This window comes from Homo sapiens, chromosome 12, assembly GCF_000001405.40.
Source record: "Homo sapiens chromosome 12, GRCh38.p14 Primary Assembly".
Classification (NCBI taxonomy): domain Eukaryota; kingdom Metazoa; phylum Chordata; class Mammalia; order Primates; family Hominidae; genus Homo; species Homo sapiens.
The window spans coordinates 6,465,246-6,485,718 of NC_000012.12; the positions used below are offsets into that span (position 1 = coordinate 6,465,246).

Genomic DNA, 20,473 nt, shown 5'->3' on the forward strand with positions numbered 1-20,473 from the left:
ACCAATTAGTTCAATTTTCACTGTGAAGTGTTCAGCTCATTCTCAAAAGTTGCAGTTATTTAAAAATATATATTTCAATCTGAGAAAGCTGATTTAAAAGAAAAAGAAAAAAGTATATATATATATAAATGTATATATATGTATATATATATATAAATGTATATATATGTATATATATATATAAATGTATATATATGTATATATACATATGTGTATATATAGTGTGTGTGTGTGTGTGTGTGTGTGTATGTATATATGCCTGAGCCATTGTGCTGATGTTGGGTGTGTCTGAGGATGAGACAGGTGAAATTTTTTGCAGGCAACTCCTTTGGGGTAAAGCTCCTTAACTAACCATTCCAAACTCCTCAGGGTATCACTTTTTCCCTGATAGCGGTTCTAAATACTCTAGCCTACCCTGGTGGCCAATTCTGGGTAATGCAATCTCAAGAGGAGGCTTTCCAGATTTCCTCCCAAGCGTTATGCTGGTCAGAGAGATCCTGCACCATTAGAGGGAAGAAATGTAGAAGCTGAGGGTTTTCTTGCCTTCTACCAGTGGAAGCCCAGGAAAAGATGGAGGAGGGGACAAGAAAATTCACCTTGCAGTTTTTCCACCAATACTTCCTCTTTAGCTTGGCAGCACTGCTCTCAAATTGTGATGCTCCTGCCTGCAAGGCATCAGCTCGGTCATCCAGCTCTGACAGCTTCTGGTCCCTCTCCAGGACCTTGTCCACGTTCACACGTATGATGTCCACCACCTGAGGAGGGCACAGAAACAAAGCAGCTAAGCTTCCTGCCAGAGACAGAGGAAAGGACAACAACCAGAGAATCACAAGTCTGGCCCTGTGCAACTCTAAAGGGTGCTTTGCCTCTCAGGGCCTTTGACTATTCTCCTACGAAAAAAGGAGAAAAGATAAGAAGTTCCCTTTTGTTTCCAAACTCCTAGATTTGGAAACTTTCAGAGAAACAGCTATCTACCTACCTCCTCCACTTGTGCCTGGGTTTGCTGTAGTCGTCTGTTACTGGTCATGTTAGGAGGAGGGCCAGGGGGACCCCCACCTGGGGCAGTCCCTTCTGTCCCTTCAGCAGGTGGCTGAGCTGGAGCAGACCTGTGGAAAGACATGTGCAGAGTACACAAAGTGACCAAGACAAGAAAGGAGCTGGGCGTGGTAGCACACACCTGTAGTCCCAGCTACTCAAGAGGCTGAAGTGGGAGGAGCGCTTGAGCCCAGGAGTTCGAGGCCAGCCTGGGCATCATAGCGAGACCCCATCTCTAAAAAAACAGACAAAAAGAAAGGACTCACATGCATCCTCACCCCAAACCACTTAAACAATTATGATTAGGCTATACAAAACTAGAATGGATTCTTGCTCCTTGGCAATCTGAAGTAGGGAGACAAACCATAGAGGCAAGAAGTAAAAGATGAAAGACTCTGCAACAACATTTGGATGGGGTTCAGGGACATCCAGGATGGCATCAAGACATCTCATCTGGGGCTATCCTTTGACTCAACTCAAACAAGTCCTCTGCCATGATGGCTACAGGGACATATGGCCTAGCCTTGTCCTAAATGGCATTTCCCCGCTGATATGGTTTGGCTGTGTCCCCACCCAAATCTCAACTTCAATTGTATCACCCAGAATTCCCACATGTTGTGGGAGGGACTCAGGGGAGGTAACTGAATCATGGGGCCCATCTTTCCGGTGCTATTCTGGTGATAGTGACGAAGTCTCATGAGATCTGATGGGTTTATCAGTGGTTTCTGCTTTTGCTTCTTCCACATTTTCTCTTGCTGCTGCCATGTAAGAAGTGCCTTTCACCTGCCGCCATGATTCTGAGGCCTTCCCAGCCATGTGGAACTGTAAGTCCAATTAAACCTCTTTTTCTTCCCAGTCTTGGGTATGTCTTTATCAGCAGCATGAAAACAGACTAATACAGTAAATTGGTACCAGTAGAGTGGGGTGTTGCTGAAAAGATACCCAAAAATGTGGAAGCGACTTTGGAACTGGGTTAACAGGGAGAGGATGGAACAGTTTGGAGGGCTCAGAAGAAGACAGGAAAATGCGGGAAAGTTTGGAACCTCCTAGAGACTTGTTGAATGGCTTTGACAAAAATGCTGTTAGTGATATGAACAATAAGGTCCAGGCTGAGGTGGTCTCAGATGGAGATGAGGAACTTGTTGGGAACTGAAGCAAAGGTGACTCTTGTTATGTTTTGGCAAAAAGACTGGCAGCATTTTGCCCCTGCCCTAGAAATTTGTGGAACTTTGAACTTGAGAGAGATAATTTAGGGTATCTGGCAGAAGAAAAGACGCAGTACTAAAGAAAAAAACCATTTTTTTGAGAAGAAATTCAAGGCAGCTGCAGAAATTTGCATAAGTAGCAAGGAACCTAGTGTTAGCCCCTAAGACCATGGGGAAAATGTCTCCAGGCCATGTCAGAAGCCTTCATAGCAGCCCCTCCCATCACAGGCCTGGAGGCCCAGGAGGAAAAAGTTATTTTGTGGGCCAGGCCCAGGGTCCCCATGCTGTGTGCAGCCTAGGGACTTAGTGCCCTGTGTCCCAGCCGCTCCCACTGTGGCTGAGAGGGGCCAATGCAGGGCTCGGGCCGTGGCTTCAGAGGGTGGAAGCCCCAAGCCTTGGCAGCTTCCACATGGTGTTGAGCCTGCAGATGCACAGAAGGCAAGAACTGAGGTTCGGGAACCTCCGTCTAGACTTCAGAAGATGTATGGAAACGCCTGGATGTCCAGGCAAAAGTTTGCTGCAAGGGCAGGGCCCTCATGGAGAACCTCTGCTAGTGTAGTACAGAAGGGACATGTGGGGTTGGAGCCCCCACACAGAGTCCCCACTGGAACACTGCCTAGTGGAGCTATGAGAAAAAGGTCACCATTCTCCAGACCCCAGAATGGTAGATCCACTGGTAGCTTGCACCGTGCGCCTGGAAAAGCCACAGACACTCAATGCCAGTCCGTGAAGGGAGCCAGGAGGGAGGCTGTACACTGTAATGTCTGTCAGCTCACCCCTTTTTATATTCAAGTTATTGGTTATGGTTATTGGTTTATATGCCCAGTTATTGGTTATGCTTCACACAAGATGAGGAAATCAGGGCTGCCATAAGGGCAGCTTGGAAAATCACCAAAGGCAAAGTCTATGTAGGTGGAGTGAGTCAGGACTGTTTGTTTGCTTTGTTTTTGGCAGAGAAAATGGGGGTTTCACTTAGATAGAATCTGGGGCCCAAAGCAATTACATTAGTTATGGAAACTGTTCCAAGAGCATAGACAGGAAGCAAAAATGCTAGAAATTGTCCTCAATGTGCATGCATTATAGACATTCTGTCCCTTCCTTTTCTGGATTTGACAGTCTCAGATGACTCCCTTGGTTACTTACATCCCAAAGAGAGATCTTGGTTTACTGTACTATACACACAGAGAATGTTCTCTCATTCTGTACCACTCAAAGTTAGTGTGTGGTCTTCAAGACAAACTCCTCTCCATGTCCCAAAACATGGAGGCTAAACTCACCTCCTAAAGAATTCCCAGAAGTATAACCTAAGTCATGAGATGTTCTCGGCCAAGGAAGCACCCACAGGCAGGGGGGAGATCTCTCAAATTTGATGGAGAATAGAAATTACAGTAAGAACTCCTCAAACAGAAGCAGAATCTCACCAAACATACTTCACAGGAGCAGTCCAAGAGTAAATGCAACAAAAATGAAACCACAAAGTCACCTAAAAGGAAATTATTTGACTAATTACAATAGAACTAATACCCAGAAGCTCATTCTCCTTGATTAAGTGAATTTCTTTTAGTCTAAAAAGATAGAGAATAACTCCTCAGAGAGGCTATGGTAGCAGATTACACCTGACTCATTCCCCATTTGAAGAATCACTTTTCCATTTCCCTCTAAGGTGCAAAGGAGGTAAAGCAAAGATAGACACAAAGTCATGGGAGCCACAAGACTCTTGTCCTGCCACTGAGCTAGCTAAGCAATCTAGCTCTCGACTTAAGGCAGAAAATTCAATGAGTAGGTAGCAGCCAGTGTTGGAAGCAGTCCAGGATGGTAGCACCAATGACAAGATTAAGGTCAGAGACCTCGTGATGCCCCGCTAGCCACCACGATTTTTCTGTTGCCTTCTGTTCATCCCACGTAGATACTATCTGGAAGCCCCCTCCCCAAAATGAAAACAACTGGAATTCTACGGCTTGCCCAAAATGCATAGAACACTCATATCTGGTTAAAACCATAGAAATCAAAAAGAAAAAGTGAAATGGCTATGAAGTATTTGCAAGGCCAATTTCACTTACTACTTGTTGGGAGTTGGAAACACTCAACAGTAAAATATCTAGGGATAATTACAACCCTTATGTAACACAAGTAAATCTTTCCCTTTTTTGTCACTTAGAGAAGCAACATAAATACATCTAGGACCAGGCCAGGGTAGTAATCAGAAAGAAAAATCTGTATTAGACATATTGAGGTCTTGACAGAGAAGTACTTCGTTTGTTTAGCCGTAGTTTTCCCTCAAGATCATGCGAAGGGGGTGATGTTGAAGACTGCTGGAGACTAAACTGTGTGTGTTGGAGGAAAGGGGGAAAGCTCAGCTCTCCCTATTTCTCCTCCAACTATTTGGTAAGACTCGGTGATAGAAAAACATCTCCTATACGAATGGCCTTGGTATGAACAGCCGCTTGGGATGACAGGCCACTATCCCACTACCCCTTGAGTCTTTCTGAGCTGCTCACCTGGTGCCAGAGAACTGGCAGATAAGTTTCTGCAGCTTTGCTCACTGCCATGAGGGGGGCTAGACATCACACTTTGGGTGAGGGGTAAACAAATCCAGAGATTGTAGGGCAACATAAGTTACCAACTGGCAGTTGCACCCATGACTGTCTTTCCTGAGGCGCTGAGTAGTGATTTAGCCAGATGACAGAAATACCTTTCGAGTCCCCTGCCCAGTTGTCTCCATCCACCACCCCCAGCCCCCGCCCTCTCCGAGTCTCCACTATACCAAAACCAGAATGAGGCGCCACTCAGACGAGAGGAGAGGGTGCAATGATTGTGGGACCCCTGCGCCCCTGCCCCGCCCGTGGGGTGCTAGCTGTGGCTGGTGCGAGAATGGGGTGCTGGCCCCCCTCCCTGGGGGTGGCCCGGTCCGGAAGCGGCGCGCGGTGGTAGTTCCCCGCGTTGCTGCAGCTGCTGCATTGCGCCATTTTCCGTCCCGCAGAATCGGGAGCTTGGGGCGAGAGTTGTCAAGGAGGTGCCGAGCCCCCACACCAGAGTCAACTCACATTTTTCTGACAGAGAGAGTGAGGGTCTGTTCCTCTCCGGAGGCTGCGGCGAGACACCCGGTGAGGGACGCTGCGGCTGAAGTGGACGGAACTGCCAAGCTCCGCCTCGCGCCGACTACCCCGCGGTCTAGCTGCGCTGGAACTTACTGCAGCTGCCGCGCCGGCCTCCGCCTTTATTAGTGCTGACCACGCCTCCCGGATAACGGTGACAACCCCGCGGCCCAATCCATGCCCAGGACGGTCGCCCAGCGCTACAGGCCTAGCCCGCCCCGCCCCTGCCAATTGCCAGTCACAACTCTCCTCTCATCCGACTCCGGAAAGGAGCGGTTGCTGTGAGGATCCTTCAGTGATCAATGCGACCATAGTTTGCGCTCCAGTCTGGCGGAGGGACGGGGCGGGGTGGAGATGAGGTCTGTCCCTTCGGAGGGCGCTTCAGCAGTTTGTTAGGCATTTGTGGTGCCTCCCAACCAATCGCTAGGCAGTTACTGAAGACCGTGCCCGCCCCTGCCCCACCCCGCGCCGGGACTCGCGCATTCAGCTGGAGGCGGCGGCTTCCTGGTGCGCGCCCAGCCCTGGTGCCCTGCTCTGGCCCTCGCTCCGCACCACCGCCCCGCCTCTAACTAACGCTCTGAGAGGGTGCAGGAGCCTCGAGACACAGCCACAAGCTCCTGGTGCCAGATACCGGATGCGGGGTTCCGTCCCACCAAAGCAAGCACGAAGCTTTCGTTCATTCGTTTCTTTCAACATAGCCTTCCTAAATTGAACTCCCTCCCAAACCTGCTCCAGTCGAGGTTACCACATCGACTCAGTTGCCCAGACCAGAAACGTGGAAACCATCCTAGATTTCCTCCCCTTCACCTTTACCTCTCCCCCAGTAATCTGCCAAATCGAGTTGATTTTTCCTTCTTGGCATTCCAGTGATTATCTCCCCTCTGCTCACTATTATCCCTTTCCTGGACTCCATCAGTTGGAAAATTCACCATTATTTTATGTCCCGCTAAGAAAAAAGGTTACAAGGCCGGGCGCAGTGGCTCACACCTGTAATCCCAGCACTTTGGGAGGCCGAGTCAGGCAGATTACCTGAGATCAGGAGTTCGAGACCAGCCTGGCCAACATGGCGAAACCTCTGTCTCTACTAAAAATACAAAACAGCCAGGCATGGTGGCGGGCGCCTGTAATCCCAGCTACTCGTGAGGCTGAGATAAGAGAATCGCTTGAAGCCGGGAGCCGACGGTTGCAGTGAGCCGAGATCACGCCACTGCACTCCAGCCTGGGCAACAGAGCAAGACCCTGTTTCAAAAAAAAAAAGAAAAAAGGTTGCAAATTATCTGTGACAAATGCTTTCCTTACCACTTAGCATTTTTGTTTTACATGTATTGAAAATATGGGTTTATATACATACCGATTTCTATATTTCACTCTTGTGCATGCATAAAAAGGGAAATAGAAAACAATAACATGGTAACTATCCCTAAAACTTCACAGAGACTGATTGTTAATGATTCACTTTTTTGACTCAGTCTTGGATGTCCACTAATTTCCACGCAATGTAGTCCTCTGTGCATTTCATAAGGGCTTTGGTGATGCAGCATTTCCTAAGAGTGTTCCTCTCCAGGCTCTAGAGTTTTCTTCCAAGCCTCAGACACCCATTTGGCAAGCTTTGATGCTCATGAGCAGGTATGACAAATATAGTTTGACTGCTGTCTGACTAATAGCTAAAGTGAAACATCCCAATTAGAAGATATTGAAATGCAAAAAAACAAACAAACAAGCACACACAAAAAACCCAAGTGCCTCCTAAGATCAATGATACATCATTCTGCTTCCAGTCTTGCCATCCTTTACATCTATTCTCTAAAAAGTCCACCAAAGTTATCTATCCAAATGTCACAAGTCTTCTTAAGGAAACAATTGCACTTGGAAACATAATGCATTCATCATATGTGTTTATCCCATTCTCCTCCTGAAACCACATCAAAATGGCAAGTTAGGGGGAAAAATGACAATTTGGGAAAATTTGCAAAAAATTATAAGCCCCCAAAGACAAAAAGAATGGGGCCGGGCGTGGTGGCTCACTCCCGTAGTCCCAGCTATTTGGGGGGCTGAGGCGGAAGGACAGCTTGAGCCCAGATGTTCCGGTTGCAGTGAGCCGAGATCACGCCACTGCACTCCCACCTGGGTGACAAAATGAGACCCTATCTCCAAAAGAAAAGAAAAAGGGCCAGGCGCAGTAACTCACACCTGTAATCCCAGCAATGTGGGAGGCCAAGGAGGGCGGATCACTTGAAGCCAGGAGTTCAAGACCAACCTGGCTAACGCAGCAAAATCCCGTCTCTACTAAAAATACAAAAATTAGCTGGGCATGGACGCCTGTAGTCCCAGCTACTCGGGAGACTGAGGCAGGAGGATCACTTGAACCCGGGAGGCGGAGGCTGCAGTAAGCCGAGATCTTGCCACTGCACTCCAACCTGGGCAACAGAATGAGACTGTCTCAAAAAAAAAAAAAAAAAGAAAGAAAGAAAGAAAAAGAAAAGAAAAAAGAATGGGAGGAAATATTTCTGGCAGCATGAATGCCTATTTATTCCCACCAACTTTCCCCTGAAAAAAAACTTAAAATCATTGAATGGTGACTCACGCCTATAATCCCAGCATTTTGGGAGGCCAAAGCAGGAGGATCACTTGAGCCCAGGAGTTCAAGACTAGCCTGGACAACATGGTGAAATCCTGTCTCTACAAGAAATAGATACAAAAAAATATAGCTGGGTATTGTGGCACACACCTGTAGTTCCAACTACTTGGGAGGCTGAGGTGGGAGGATTACCTGAGCCTGAGGAGGTCAAGAAAGCAGTGAGCCATGATCACACCATTGCACTCCAACCTGGGCAACAGAGTGAGACCCTGTCTCAAAAAAACGGGGTTGAGGGGGTGGCATTTTTTAAACTTTTTTTTTTTTTTTTTGAGACGGAGTCTCCCTCTGTCGCCCACGCTGGAGTGCAGTGGCGCTATCTCGGTTCACTGCAAGCCCCACCTCCTGGGTTCACGCCATTCTCCTGCCTCAGCCTCCTGAGTAGCTGGGACTACAGGCACCCGCCACCACGCCCGGCTAATTTTTTGTATTTTTAGTAGAGACAGGGTTTCACAGTGTTAGCCAGGATGGTCTCGATCTCCTGACCTCATGATCCACCCGCCTCGGCTTCCCAAAGTGCTGGGATTACAGGCGTGAGCCACCGCGCCCGGCCTTAAACTTTTTATTTTAAAGTAATTATAGATTCATATAAGGTGGCCAAAAAAAAAAAATACAATACAGGGAGGTTCCCCTAAACCCCTTTACCCAGTTCCCCCAACAGTAACATCTTGTATAAATACAGTTTAAAATTATTAAAATATTAAAACCAGGAAATTATCATTAGCAAAATCCAGAGTTTATTCAAATTTCACCGATTTTCCAAACTGGCATGTACCACCAAACACTTCTTTTTGTGTTCGTGTGTGTTTGAGTGGTTTTATGCAATTGTATCATGTGTAGATTTGTGTAACCACAACCACAGTTAGGATACAGCATTTTCACATTACTGCAAGGCTCCCATGTGCTACCCCTTTATATTCCAACCCACCGCCATCCCTAAACCTTAGCAACACTAATTTGTTCTCCATCTCTGTAACTTTATTTCAAGAGCCTTATGTAAATGTAGTCATGCTTTTTTCTATATCACGTAACCTTTCAAGATTGGCTTTTTTCATTCATCCAAGTTATTGTGTGTATCATTACTTTTTCAACCATCCAAGTTATTGTGTGTATCATTAGTTTTCACCACTGATTAATATTCCGTGGTACATTTAACCATTTACCTGCTGAAGGACATTTGGAGTGATTTCAGCACTGGGCTATTACAAATAAAGTTGCTGTGAACTTTCATACAGGTTTTGTGTGAACATAAATTCTCATTTCTCTGGGATAAATGCCTGAGTGCAATGCTTGGGCAGTAAGGTAATTGCATCTCTAGTTTTATAAGAAACTGCCTTTGCCTGTGTTGCCCAGGCTGGTCTTAAACTCCTGAGCTCAAGCAATTCTCCCACTTCAGCTTCCCAAGTAGCTAGGACTATAGGCATCATGCCCAGCTGTATTTTTCTTATTTTAACCATTCTAATATGTGTTCAGTGCTATCATTGTGGTTTTAATTCTTATTTCACTGATGGCTAATGATATCAAATATCTTTTAAAGTGTTTGCCTTGTATATATTATCCTATTTGATGAAATGTTGGTTCATGTCTTTTGGCCATTTTCTTTTTTTTTTTATTGATCATTCTTGGGTGTTTCTCGCAGAGGGGAATTTGGCAGGGTCATAGGACAATAGTGGAGGGAAGGTCAGCAGATAAACAAGTGAACAAAGGTCTCTGGTTTTCCTAGGCAGAGGACCCTGCGGCCTTCCGCAGTGTTTGTGTCCCTGGGTACTTGAGATTAGGAAGTGGTGATGACTCTTAAGGAGCATGCTGCCTTCAAGCATCTGTTTAACAAAGCACATCTTGCACCGCCCTTAATCCATTTAACCCTGAGTGGACACAGCACAGGCCGCAGAGAGCACAGGGCTGGGGGCAAGGTCACAGCTCAACAGCATCCCAAGGCAGAAGAACCCCTCCCAGTACAGAACAAAATGAAGTCTCCCAAGTCTACTTCTTTCTACACAGACACAGCAACAATCTGATTTCTCTATCTTTTCCCCACCTTTCCCCCTTTTCTATTCCACAAAACCGCCATCGTCATAATGGCCCGTTCTCAATGAGTTGTTGGGTACACCTCCCAGACGGGGTGGTGGCCGGGTAGAGGGGCTCCTCACTTCCCAGAAGGGGTGGCCGGGCAGAGGCGACCCCCACCTCCCTCCCGGACGGGGCGGCTGGCCGGGCGGGGGCTGACCCCCCACCTCCCTCCCGGACGGGGTGGCTGCCAGGCAGAGACGCTCCTCACCTCCTAGACGGGGTCACGGGCGGGCAGAGGCGCTCCCCACATCTCAGACGATGGGCGGCCGGGCAGAGACGCTCCTCACTTCCTAGACGGGATGGCGGCCGGGAAGAGGTGCTCCTCACTTCCCAGACTGGGCAGCCGGGCAGAGGGGCTCCTCACATCCCAGATGATGGGCGGCCAGGCGGAGACGCTCCTCACTTCTCAGACAGGGTGGCTGCCGGGCGGAGGGGCTCCTCACTTCTCAGATGGGGCAGCTGCCGGGCGGAGGGGCTCCTCACTTCTCAGACGGGGCAGCCAGGCAGAGACGCTCCTCACCTCCTAGACGGGGTCACGGCCAGGCAGAGGCGCTCCCCAAATCTCAGACGATGGGCGGCCGGGCAGAGACGCTCCTCACTTCCTAGACGGGATGGCGGCCGGGAAGAGGTGCTCCTCACTTCCCAGACTGGGCAGCCGGGCAGAGGGGCTCCTCACATCCCAGACGATGGGCGGCCAGGCGGAGACGCTCCTCACTTCCCAGACGGGGTGGCGGCTGGGCAGAGGCTGCAATCTCGGCACTTTGGGAGGCCAAGGCAGGCGGCTGGGAGGTGGAGGTTGTAGCTAGCCGAGATCATGCCACTGCACTCCAGCCTGGGCAACATTGAGCACTGAGTGAACAAGACTTGGTCTGCAATCCCGGCACCTCGCGAGGCCTTCTGAGTAGCTGGTACTACGGGCGCCTGCCACCATGCCTGGCTAATTTTTGTATTTTTAGTAGAGACGGGGTTTCACCATATTGGCCAGGCTGATCTCGAACTCCTGACCTCAGATGATCTGCCAGCCTCAGCCTCCCAAAGTGCGGGATTACAGGCGCGAGTCTTGTATTTCTTTTAAAATCAATCTCACACACACCCTTTTTTCTCCCTCTCCCTCACATATCCTGTTTTCTCTTTTTAGACATCGGACTATTAATTAGATATTGGACTATTTGGCTTAATTTTCTAATTATCTTTCTTATTTCCTGTCTCCATCTCTGCTGGTTCTTGTTCTTGGTGCCTTGTTCCTTATTTGTTTGGAATTTTTGACCACAATTTATTTTTCTTGGAACTGTATCTGTGGAAATTCCCCGAGGCCTAGATTAAAGATGAGTTCATCCAGAAAGGATCTGCATTGCTTCTGCTGGGTTCTTGGTGGTACTGTCAATCCAAAACCACTTTAAATTCTTGCCATTTTCTTTTTAGGATCAACAAAGAGTTCAGGCAGAAACACCACAGCCTGTGGTTATACATTCTCTGCAAATACTTAAAAGAAAAAAATAAAAGAACTCCAGCAGGCACCTGGGTTCCAGACAAACAACATTCCACGGAGTGCTCTGGGGCAGTTTGGGTTCTAGTATATTCGTAATTCATTCTTAGATGAGGATATAGTCCTTTGGGGTTCTGACTTTATGGTAAGGACTTTCTATTAGATTTCCAACCTTGGGTAAGCCCTGGGCTTTATTTCCTGTGCCACAGTGGTAGCCTGTGAGGCTGCTACGCTCATATTAAACTTTATAGCAAATACCCTCAGAGCAAAATAGTCTTTGGGACTCAGCAACTTCCCTGGTTACTGGCTTTCACTTAGTTTTTCGTGTTTAAATAGTCTTTACTCTCAGGCCAACTCATAAATAGATTTTATCTATAGAAGAACAAAGAAGAATAAAATAGGAGGAATAACTATCTCATGCTTACTACTATATAGTTGCAGTAATCAAGACAGTGTGGTATTGGTGGGAGGACAGACACATAGATCGATGGCACCGATGAGAGAATGCAGAAATAGACCCCTACAAATATGCGCATCTGATTTTTTTTTTTTTTTTTTTGAGACAGAGTCTTGCTCTGTCGCCAGGCTGGAGTGCAGTCATGCAATCTCGGCTCACTGCAACCTCTGCCTCCCAGGTTCAAGCGATTCTCCTGCCTCAGCCGACCAAGTAGCTGGGACTACAGGCGTGCGCCACCACGCCCAGCTAATTTTTTGTATTTTTAGTAGAGACGGGGTTTCACCGTGTTGGCCAGGATAGTCTGGATCTCTTGACCTCGTGATTCGACTGCCTTGGCCTCCCAAAGTGCTGGGATTACAGGCGTGAACCACCATGCCTGGCCTTCTGTATTTTTTAAGATTCCTATCTGGAGAGCCCCCAGCTCTGCGGCGGCTTCACCCGCGAGTCCCAAGGCAAGCGAGCGGCTGGGTCGCCCCCACCGGCCCCATGGCAGCCCCCGGGGCCCCAGCTGAGTACGGCTACATCCGGACCATCTTGGGCCAGCAGATCCTGGGACAACTGGACAGCTCCAGCCTGGCGCTGCCCTCTGAGGCCAAGCTGAAGCTGGCTGGGAGCAGCGGCCGCGGCAGCCAGTCAAGAGCCTGCGGATCCAGGAGCAGGTGCAGCAGATCCTCGCCCGGAAGGGCCGCAGCTCCGTGGGCAACGGAAATCTTCACCGAACCAGCAGTGTTCCTGAGTATGTCTACAACCTACACTTGGTTGAAAATGATTTTGTTGGAGGCCGTTCCCCTGTTCCTAAAACCTATTACATGCTAAAGGCTGGCACAACTGCCACTTATGAAGGTCGCTGGGGAAGAGGAACAGCACAGTACAGCTCCCAGAAGTCCGTGGAAGAAAGGTATTTGAGGCATCCTCTGAGGAGACTGGAGATTTCTCCTGACAGCAGCCCGGAGAGGGCTCACTACACGCACAGCGATTACCAGTACAGCCAGAGAAGCCAGGCTGGGCACACCCTGCACCACCAAGAAAGCAGGCGGGCCGCCTTCCTGGTGCCACCGAGATATGATCGTTCTGAGATCGCGGGGGTCCGCCGTACTGGCACCACAAGCAGGCAGCACCACTTTGACACCACAGGCAGTACCAGCGTGGCTCTGTTAGTGACACCGTTTTTGACAGCATCCCTGCCAACCCGGCCCTGCTCACGTACCCCAGGCCAGGGACCAGCCGCAGCATGGGCAACCTCTTGGAGAAAGAGAACTACCTGAGGGCAGGGCTCACCGTCGGCCAGGTCAGGCCGCTGGTGCCCCTGCGGCCCCTCACTCAGAACAGGGCTTCCAGGTCCTCCTGGCACCGGAGCTCCTTCCACAGCACCCGCACACCGAGGAAAGCTGGGCCCAGTGTTGCCGTGGATTCCAGCGGGAGGAGAGCGCACTTGACCGTCGGCCAGGCAGCGGCAGGGGGAAGTGGGAATCTTCTCACCCAGAGAAGCACTGACTCCCAGCTGGGGAATGCAGACATGGAGATGACTCTGGAGCGAGCAGGGAGTATGCTCGATGCAGACCAGATGCCGCCGTCCAGGATTTCTGCCGCAGCCACTTTCATACAGCACGAGTGCTTCCAGAAATCTGAAGCTGGGAAGAGGGTTAACCAGTTTTGTGGCATCCCCAAGCTTCTGCAGCTCCTAAAAGTTCAGAATGAAGATGTTCAGCGAGCTGTGTGGGGGGCCTTGAGAAACTTACTATTTGAAGACAATGACAACAAATTGGAGGTGGCTGAACTAAATGGGGTAACTCGGCTGCTCCAGGTGCTGAAGCAAACCAGAGTCTTGGAGACTAAAAAACAACTAACAGGTTTGCTGTGGAATTTGTCATCTAATGACAAACTCAAGAATCTCATGATAACAGAAGCATTGCTTATGCTGACCGAGAATATAATCATCTCCTTTTCTGGATGGCCTGAAGGAGACTACCCAAAAGCGAATGGTTTGCTCGATTTTGACACAGTCTACAACCCACTGGATGTCTAAGAAACATGAGTGCTGCTGGCCCTGATAGGAGAAAAGCAATGAGAAGATGTGACCGACTCATTGACTCACTGGTCCATTATGTCAGAGGAACCATTGCGGATTACCAGCCAGATGACAAGGCCACGGAGAATTGTGTGCACATTCTTCATAACCTCTCCTACCAGCTGGAGGTAGAGCTCCCAGAGAAATATTCCCAGAATATCTATATTCAAAACCCAAATGTCCAGACTAACAACAAAAGTATTGGATGTTTTGGCAGTCGAAGCAGGAAACTAAAAGAGCAATACTAGGACATGCCGATGCCAGAGGAAAAGAGCAACCCCAAGGGCGTGGAGTGGCTGTGACACTCCATTGTGATAAGGATGTATCTGTCCTTGATCGCCAAGAGTGTCCCAAACTACACACAGGAAGCCTCCTTAGGCGCTCTCCAGAACCTCACAGCCGGAAGTGGACCAATGCCGACATCAGTGGCTCAGACAGTCGTCCAGAAGGAAAATGGCCTGCAGCACACCCGAAAGATGGTGCATGTCAGTGACCCAAGTGTGAAAAAGACAGCCAACTTGCTGCTGAGGAATCTGTCCCAGAATCTTTCTCTGCAGAATAAAATTGCCAAAGAAACTCTCCCCAGTTTGGTCTCCATCATTCCTGATACAGTCCCGAGTACTGACCTTCTCATTGAAACTACAGCCTCTGCCTGTTACATGTTGAACAACGTAATCCAAAACAGTTACCAGAATGCACAGCGCCTTCCGAATACCGGGGGCATCCAGAAAATTATGACCATCAGTGCAGGCGATGCCTATGCCTCCAACAAAGCAAGTAAAGCTGCTTCCATCCTCCTGTATTCTCTGTAGGCACACACGGAACTCCATCATGCCTACAAGAAGGCTCAGTTTAAGAAGACAGATTTTGTCAACAGCTGGACTGTCAAAGCCTACCACTCCCTTAAAGACTGAGGAAAATGACGAAGTATTCTCAGCTGCAAAAAAATCCCACAGGAAAACACCTATTTTTCTACTACCCAGCCCAAGAAACCTCAAAAGCATGCCTCGTTTCTATCATTTTCTATTTCCATGGTCCCCCGAATCCAGAAAACAAGTACAACATAATCTTATGAGTCTTCCAGAAGACTTTTGCAAGCTTGCCACCAGTAGATACTGGTCACAGGCTCTACAAATAGTGGTCTTTGTTATTAGGGCTTATGGTGCATGGCCTCCTGGAACCAAAATGTGAATTCATGTGGAATGGACTTTGATCCAATAAATAAGGAAAGAAGTTGTTGCATTACTGGGATTTTAAAAGCTTGATTTACATTTATATTCCTTTTCTAGTTCCCATGTTTTGTCACTCATGTGCACATTGCTTCACCATTGGGCCATGAGTATATTGTTCTGTAGTGTTGAAACAGAATGGAAATGACAAGAAATATCTGCAGTTATCCAGGAGAAAGTATAATGGCAAAATTATTTGTTTCTTTGTTTACTTTGTGCTCGTTTTTATCTCCTTAGGTTTTTTTCCTCTGATTTTTAAATAAACTTAAGAAATTTAGATTACAGAGTATGCATGACTGTAAGAAAAAGAAATTGAGAGGAAGTGATCATAGCAAATTAAAGAAACCTTTTTCTCCCAAAACTTAAAGTAAAATAAATAAAAATAAAAATAAATCTTTTCCCCAGAGAAAGGCAACTGTGATTATAAAGTTTAACCTTCCCCCAAACACTGAATGAATGAGATTTTTGCTCCGGAAATACTTTACCTATAACAACACCATTAAATCCAAATCTCTTCTAAACAATGGCATTCCGTGTAATGCCTTTCCTGGACATTTTTTTTTTTTTTTTTTTTTAGACGGAGCTCAGGCTGGAGTGCAGTGGTGCAATCTTGGCTCACTGCAACCTCCGCCTCCCTGGTTCAAGTGATTCTCCTGCCTCAGCCTCCTGAGTAGCTGGGATTACAGGCGTGCACCACCACGCCTGGCTAATTTTTTTGTATTTTTAGTAGAGACAGGGTTTCACCATGTTGGTCAGGCTGGTCTTGAACTCCTGACCTCATGATCCGCCCGGCTCAGCCTCCCAAAGTGCTGGGATTATAGGTGTGAGCCACCGCACCGGGCCTTCTGTATTTTTTAGGCCACTGCCCTGGACTAGTGGAAGAATGGACTCTAGTCTTTATCTGCAAGAGGAACTAAGGCCTTCTATCAGACTGCCCGGCCAGCCTGGGGCACTGAAAATACAGCTCATTTTAATGAGTTACATTATCAACCAGCTTTGCCCAGCATTTAAGAAATATCACAGGGCCACTAAATCTCATATGATCTTCTTCAAGCCATTATTTTAATTCAAGAAAACTCTAGAGAAAAAAGTGAAGAAGTCATGTTGAAGAAGATATAAGAATGTGTCAAGACCATACAGAAATGATATGAGAAATACTGGTGTTTTAAAAGGTGACATCATCCAGTGAAATGAATCTATATTAAATGTTATTTTAACTGCATTATGATTAAAACCATTCATATAGAGTTAGTCTTCACAACTACTATTCTGTTATATTTTGTTTTTTTTTTTTTAAATCTGACAACGTTTGTCATAAGTAAGATAAGGAAAAAAACTCTTCAACTCCTTTTGGCCAGAAAAGTGTAATAGAAAATAAATGTTGAATATGTACTTAAGTCTTTATTATATTTGAAACTTAAATTTTTTTTCAGTTTTAAAAGCTGAATGAAGATAGCTTAGGTAACTAACCTAGTTCAAAATGAAATTTAGATACCAATTTTTAAAATACTGGAGAGAATTTATATGTCTTTTTCCAGAGTTCTGATAATAAGCATTTGGAGTGCATTCATTCCTCCAGATAATAAATGTATGTTCAAGAACTTTTTGTGTTTTTTAAGACATTAATAGAGTCTTCAATAATATTAAATACAAAAGGAGACAAAAAAAAAAAAGATTCCTATCTGGACTGGGCACGGTGGCTCACGCTTGTAATCCCAGCACTTTGGAAGTCCGAGGTGGGCAGATCACGAGGTCAGGAGTTGGAGACCAGCCTGACCAACATGGTGAAACCCTGTCTCTACTAAAATACAAAAAATTAATCGGGCGTGGTGGCACGCACCTGTAGTCCCAGCTACTCGGGAGGCTGAGGCAGGGGAATCACTTGAACCCGGGAGGCGGAGGTTGCAGTGAGCCTAGATCATGTCATTGCACTCCAGCCTGGGGGACAGAGTGAGACTCCGTCTAAAAAAAAAAAAAATTCCTGTCTGTTTTAGTCAATGACAATCAAATTATCTGTAAATAATCACAGTTTGATCTCTTCGCTTTCATTCCTCATATCTATTTTTTTTAAATAGCATTGAGTATTTCCATACTAAATTAAATTGCAGCAGTGATAGAGGCCATCGTAGGACAGGCCCAGTGGCTCACACCGGTAATCTCAGCAACTCAGGAAGCTGAGGCAAGGAGAATCATTTGAACCTAGGAGTTAGAGAACAGACTGGAAAACCTAGCAAGACCCTGTTTCTACAAAAAATAAATTAGCTGGGCATGGTAGTTTGTACTCATAGTCCCAGCTACTTGGGAGGCTGAGACAGGATTGCTTGAGCCTAGGAATTTGAGGCTGCAGTGAGCTGTGATGGTACCACTGCATTCCAGCCTGAGTGACAGAGAAAGACCCCATTTCTTAAGACAAGCAAAAAAACCCCAAAACTGAAGTACTACTAACATATGCAACAACATGGATAAACCTTGAAAACATTATGCTAAATGAAAGAAGCCAGTCACAAAAGACTGGAATATTGTTCCATCTATATGAAATGTCCAAATAGACAAATTCAGAGATGCAGCCTGTAATCCCAACACTGTGAGAGGCAGAGGTGGGCGGATCACTTGAGGTCAGGAGTTCGAGACCAGCCTGGCCAACATGGCAAAACCCAGTCTCTACTAAAAATACAAAAATTAACTGGGCATGGTGGCTCGTGCCTGTAATACTAGCTACTTGGGAGGCTGAGGCAGGAGGCAGGAGAATTGCTTGAACCCAGGAGACAGAAGTTGCAGTGAGCCAAGATTGCACCTTTGCATTCTAGCTGGGCGACGGAGTGAGACTCAGTCTCAAAAAAAAAAAAAAAAAAAAGAAAGAGAAAGGAAATAGATTAATTGGCCGGACACATTGGCTCATGGCTGTAATCCCAGCACTTTGGGAGGCCAAGACAGTCAGATCACTTGAGGTCAGGAGTTCAAGACCAGCCTGGTCAACATGGCGAAACCCTGTCCCTACTAAAAATACAAAAATTAGCTGGACATGGTGGTGTGTGCCTGTAATCTCAGTTACTCAGGAGGCTGAGGCAGGAGAATCACTTGAACCTTGGGGGTAGAAGTTGCAGTGGGCAACAAAGCAAGATTTCATCTCAACAAAGAAGAAAAAAAAAGTACCTGGGGATGGGATAAGTGGTTGAAAAGGGGGAATGACTTGTAAGGGGTTTCTTTTGGGGTAAGGAAAATGTTCTGGAAGTGGAGGGCGGGGGCAGGTTTGGTAAGATATTGGTCAAAGGGCCTGGGCTGGGCACGGTGGCTCACATCTATAATCCCAGCACTTTAGGAGGCTGAGGCGGGCTGATCACGAGGTCAGGAGATCTAGACCATCATGGCTAACATGGTGAAAGCCCGTCTCTACTAAAAATACAAAAAATTAGCCAGGCGTGGTGGCACACGCCTGTAGTTCCAGCTGCTCAGGAGACTGAGGCAGGAGAATCACTTAAACCCGGGAAGCAGAGGTTGCAGTGAGCTAAGATCGCACCACTGCACTCCAGCCTGGGTGACAGATTGAGACTCTGTCTCAAAAAAAAAAAGACATTGGTCCAAGGATACAAAGTTTTGGTTAGACTTGGGAATAAGTTCAAGTGTCTATTGTACAACACAGTGACTATAGCTAATAACAATGTATTGTATACTTGAAAATTGCTGAGTAGATTTTAAGTGTTCCTATCAGAAAAAATGAAAAGTATGTGAGGTAATGAATTCTTTAATTAGTTTATTTTAGTCATTCTACAATGTATACATATTTTAAAACATCATGTATACCATCAATATATGTAATTTTTATTTAAAAATTTAAAAATAAATAACTTTTTAAATTTTTTGACATTAGGTAGTGGTGATGGTTGCACGACCTCATGAATATACTAAAAACCATTTGATTGTATACTAAATGAGTGAATTGTATGGCATGTTTATCATTTCTTAATTTTTAAAAGTGGAGTGGGAAACTTGAAGATTTGTTTCTAAATTACCTTTACTTTGTATTAAATCAAATCAAAATGAAGAGAAAGTTATGTGACAAAAACAGCAATCCTCTTCTTCACCCCAGCCTACCCTCTAGACTAGCTTCCCAGAATCAGAGACTTTCACTTCTTTTAGCTATTTTTATTTATTTGTTTGTTTGTTTGTAGAGATGGGGGTCGTGCTGACTAGGCTGATTTCAAACTCCTGGGCTCAAGTGATCCTCTCTTCTCAGCCTCCCAAAGTGCTGGGATTATAGGCATGAGCCACCTTGCTAGGCCTAGCTGTTTTTTTCTGGTACTTATCATCATAATATGAAATAATATTATGATTTATCAGTGTGGTGGTTTTTGTTTTTTTGTTTTTTTGTTTTTTTTTTTACACAGAGTCTCACTCTGTCACTCAAGCTTGAGTGCTGTGGTGCAATCATAGCTCACAACAGCCTCAACCTCCCTGGTCTCAGGTGATCCTCCCACTTCAGCCTCTCTCTTTTCTTTCTCTTTTTTTTTTTTTTGAGACAGAGTCTGGCTCTGTTGCCCAGGCTGGAGTGCAGTGGTGCAATCTTGGCTCACTGCAACCTCCGCCTCCCTGGTTCAAGCAATTCTCCTGCCTCAGCCTCCCAAGTAGCTGGGACTACAGGCACCCACCACCACGCCTGGCTAATTTTTTTGTATTTTTAGTAGAGACGAGGTTTCACCGTGTTGGCCAGGCTGGTCTCAAACTCCTGACCTCATGATCTGCCCACCTCGGCCTCCCAAAGTGCTGGGATTACAGGTGTGAGCCACCGCGCCCAGCCACACTTCAGCCTCTCGAGTAGCTGGGACTAGAGGCGCATCCCACCACACTAGACTAATTTTGTATTTTTTGTAGAGCCAGTGTTTCGCCATATTGCCCAGGCTGGTCTCAAACTCCTGGGCTCAAGTGATCCTCCCGCCTCAGTCTCCCAAAGTACTAGCATTACAGGCGTGAGCCACCGTGCCCAACCAGTTTATCAGATTTATTTATTTATTTATTTATTTATTTATTTATTTATTTTTGAGATGGAGTCTTGCTCTATTGCCTAGGCTGGAGTACGGTGGCATGATCTCAGCTCACTATAACCTCCGCCTCCTGGGTTCAAGCAATTCTCCTGCCTCACCCTCCCAAGTAGCTGGGATTACACACATGCACCACCATGCCCAGCTAATTTTTGTA

The 20,473-nt window shown here is 46.6% G+C and overlaps 2 protein-coding genes and 1 pseudogene across 7 annotated transcripts in view, besides 3 other annotated features; 2 read left to right on the plus strand and 1 right to left on the minus strand.

Moving 5' to 3' along the window:
* The window catches only part of VAMP1 (vesicle associated membrane protein 1), an 8,441-nt gene extending 3,009 nt beyond the window's left edge, over positions 1-5,432 (minus strand). For 4 of the 5 annotated variants that reach the window (NM_016830.4, NM_001297438.2, NM_014231.5 and 1 more), the window contains exons 1-3: positions 5,285-5,432; positions 980-1,106; positions 597-755 (exon numbers count right to left, since the gene is read on the minus strand). In NM_016830.4, the coding sequence (NP_058439.1) occupies positions 597-755; positions 980-1,106; positions 5,285-5,286 (288 nt within the window). In that variant the 5' untranslated portion in view covers positions 5,287-5,432. The remainder of the gene's footprint in view (positions 1-596; positions 756-979; positions 1,107-5,284) is intronic. The other variant, NR_123717.2, reaches the window with a different exon arrangement.
* Positions 1-6,761, plus strand: part of TAPBPL (TAP binding protein like) — a 20,358-nt gene extending 13,597 nt beyond the window's left edge. Inside the window, exons 8-9 of one of the 2 annotated variants that reach the window (XR_001748777.3) lie at positions 1,806-1,859; positions 5,221-6,761. The gene's annotated coding sequence lies outside the window, so the exon portion shown is untranslated. The remainder of the gene's footprint in view (positions 1-1,805; positions 1,860-5,220) is intronic. The other variant, XR_001748778.3, reaches the window with a different exon arrangement.
* Positions 4,914-4,963: a silencer, noted in NCBI's record as "silent region_4163". NCBI's record gives its function as "represses an Ori minimal core promoter by ATAC-STARR-seq in GM12878 lymphoblastoid cells {active_cell/tissue: GM12878}" and the evidence as "EXISTENCE:reporter gene assay evidence [ECO:0000049][PMID:35858748]".
* Positions 5,464-5,513: a silencer, noted in NCBI's record as "silent region_4164". NCBI's record gives its function as "represses an Ori minimal core promoter by ATAC-STARR-seq in GM12878 lymphoblastoid cells {active_cell/tissue: GM12878}" and the evidence as "EXISTENCE:reporter gene assay evidence [ECO:0000049][PMID:35858748]".
* Positions 5,724-5,983: a silencer, noted in NCBI's record as "silent region_4165". NCBI's record gives its function as "represses an Ori minimal core promoter by ATAC-STARR-seq in GM12878 lymphoblastoid cells {active_cell/tissue: GM12878}" and the evidence as "EXISTENCE:reporter gene assay evidence [ECO:0000049][PMID:35858748]".
* Positions 12,424-16,935, plus strand: PKP2P1 (plakophilin 2 pseudogene 1; annotated as a pseudogene).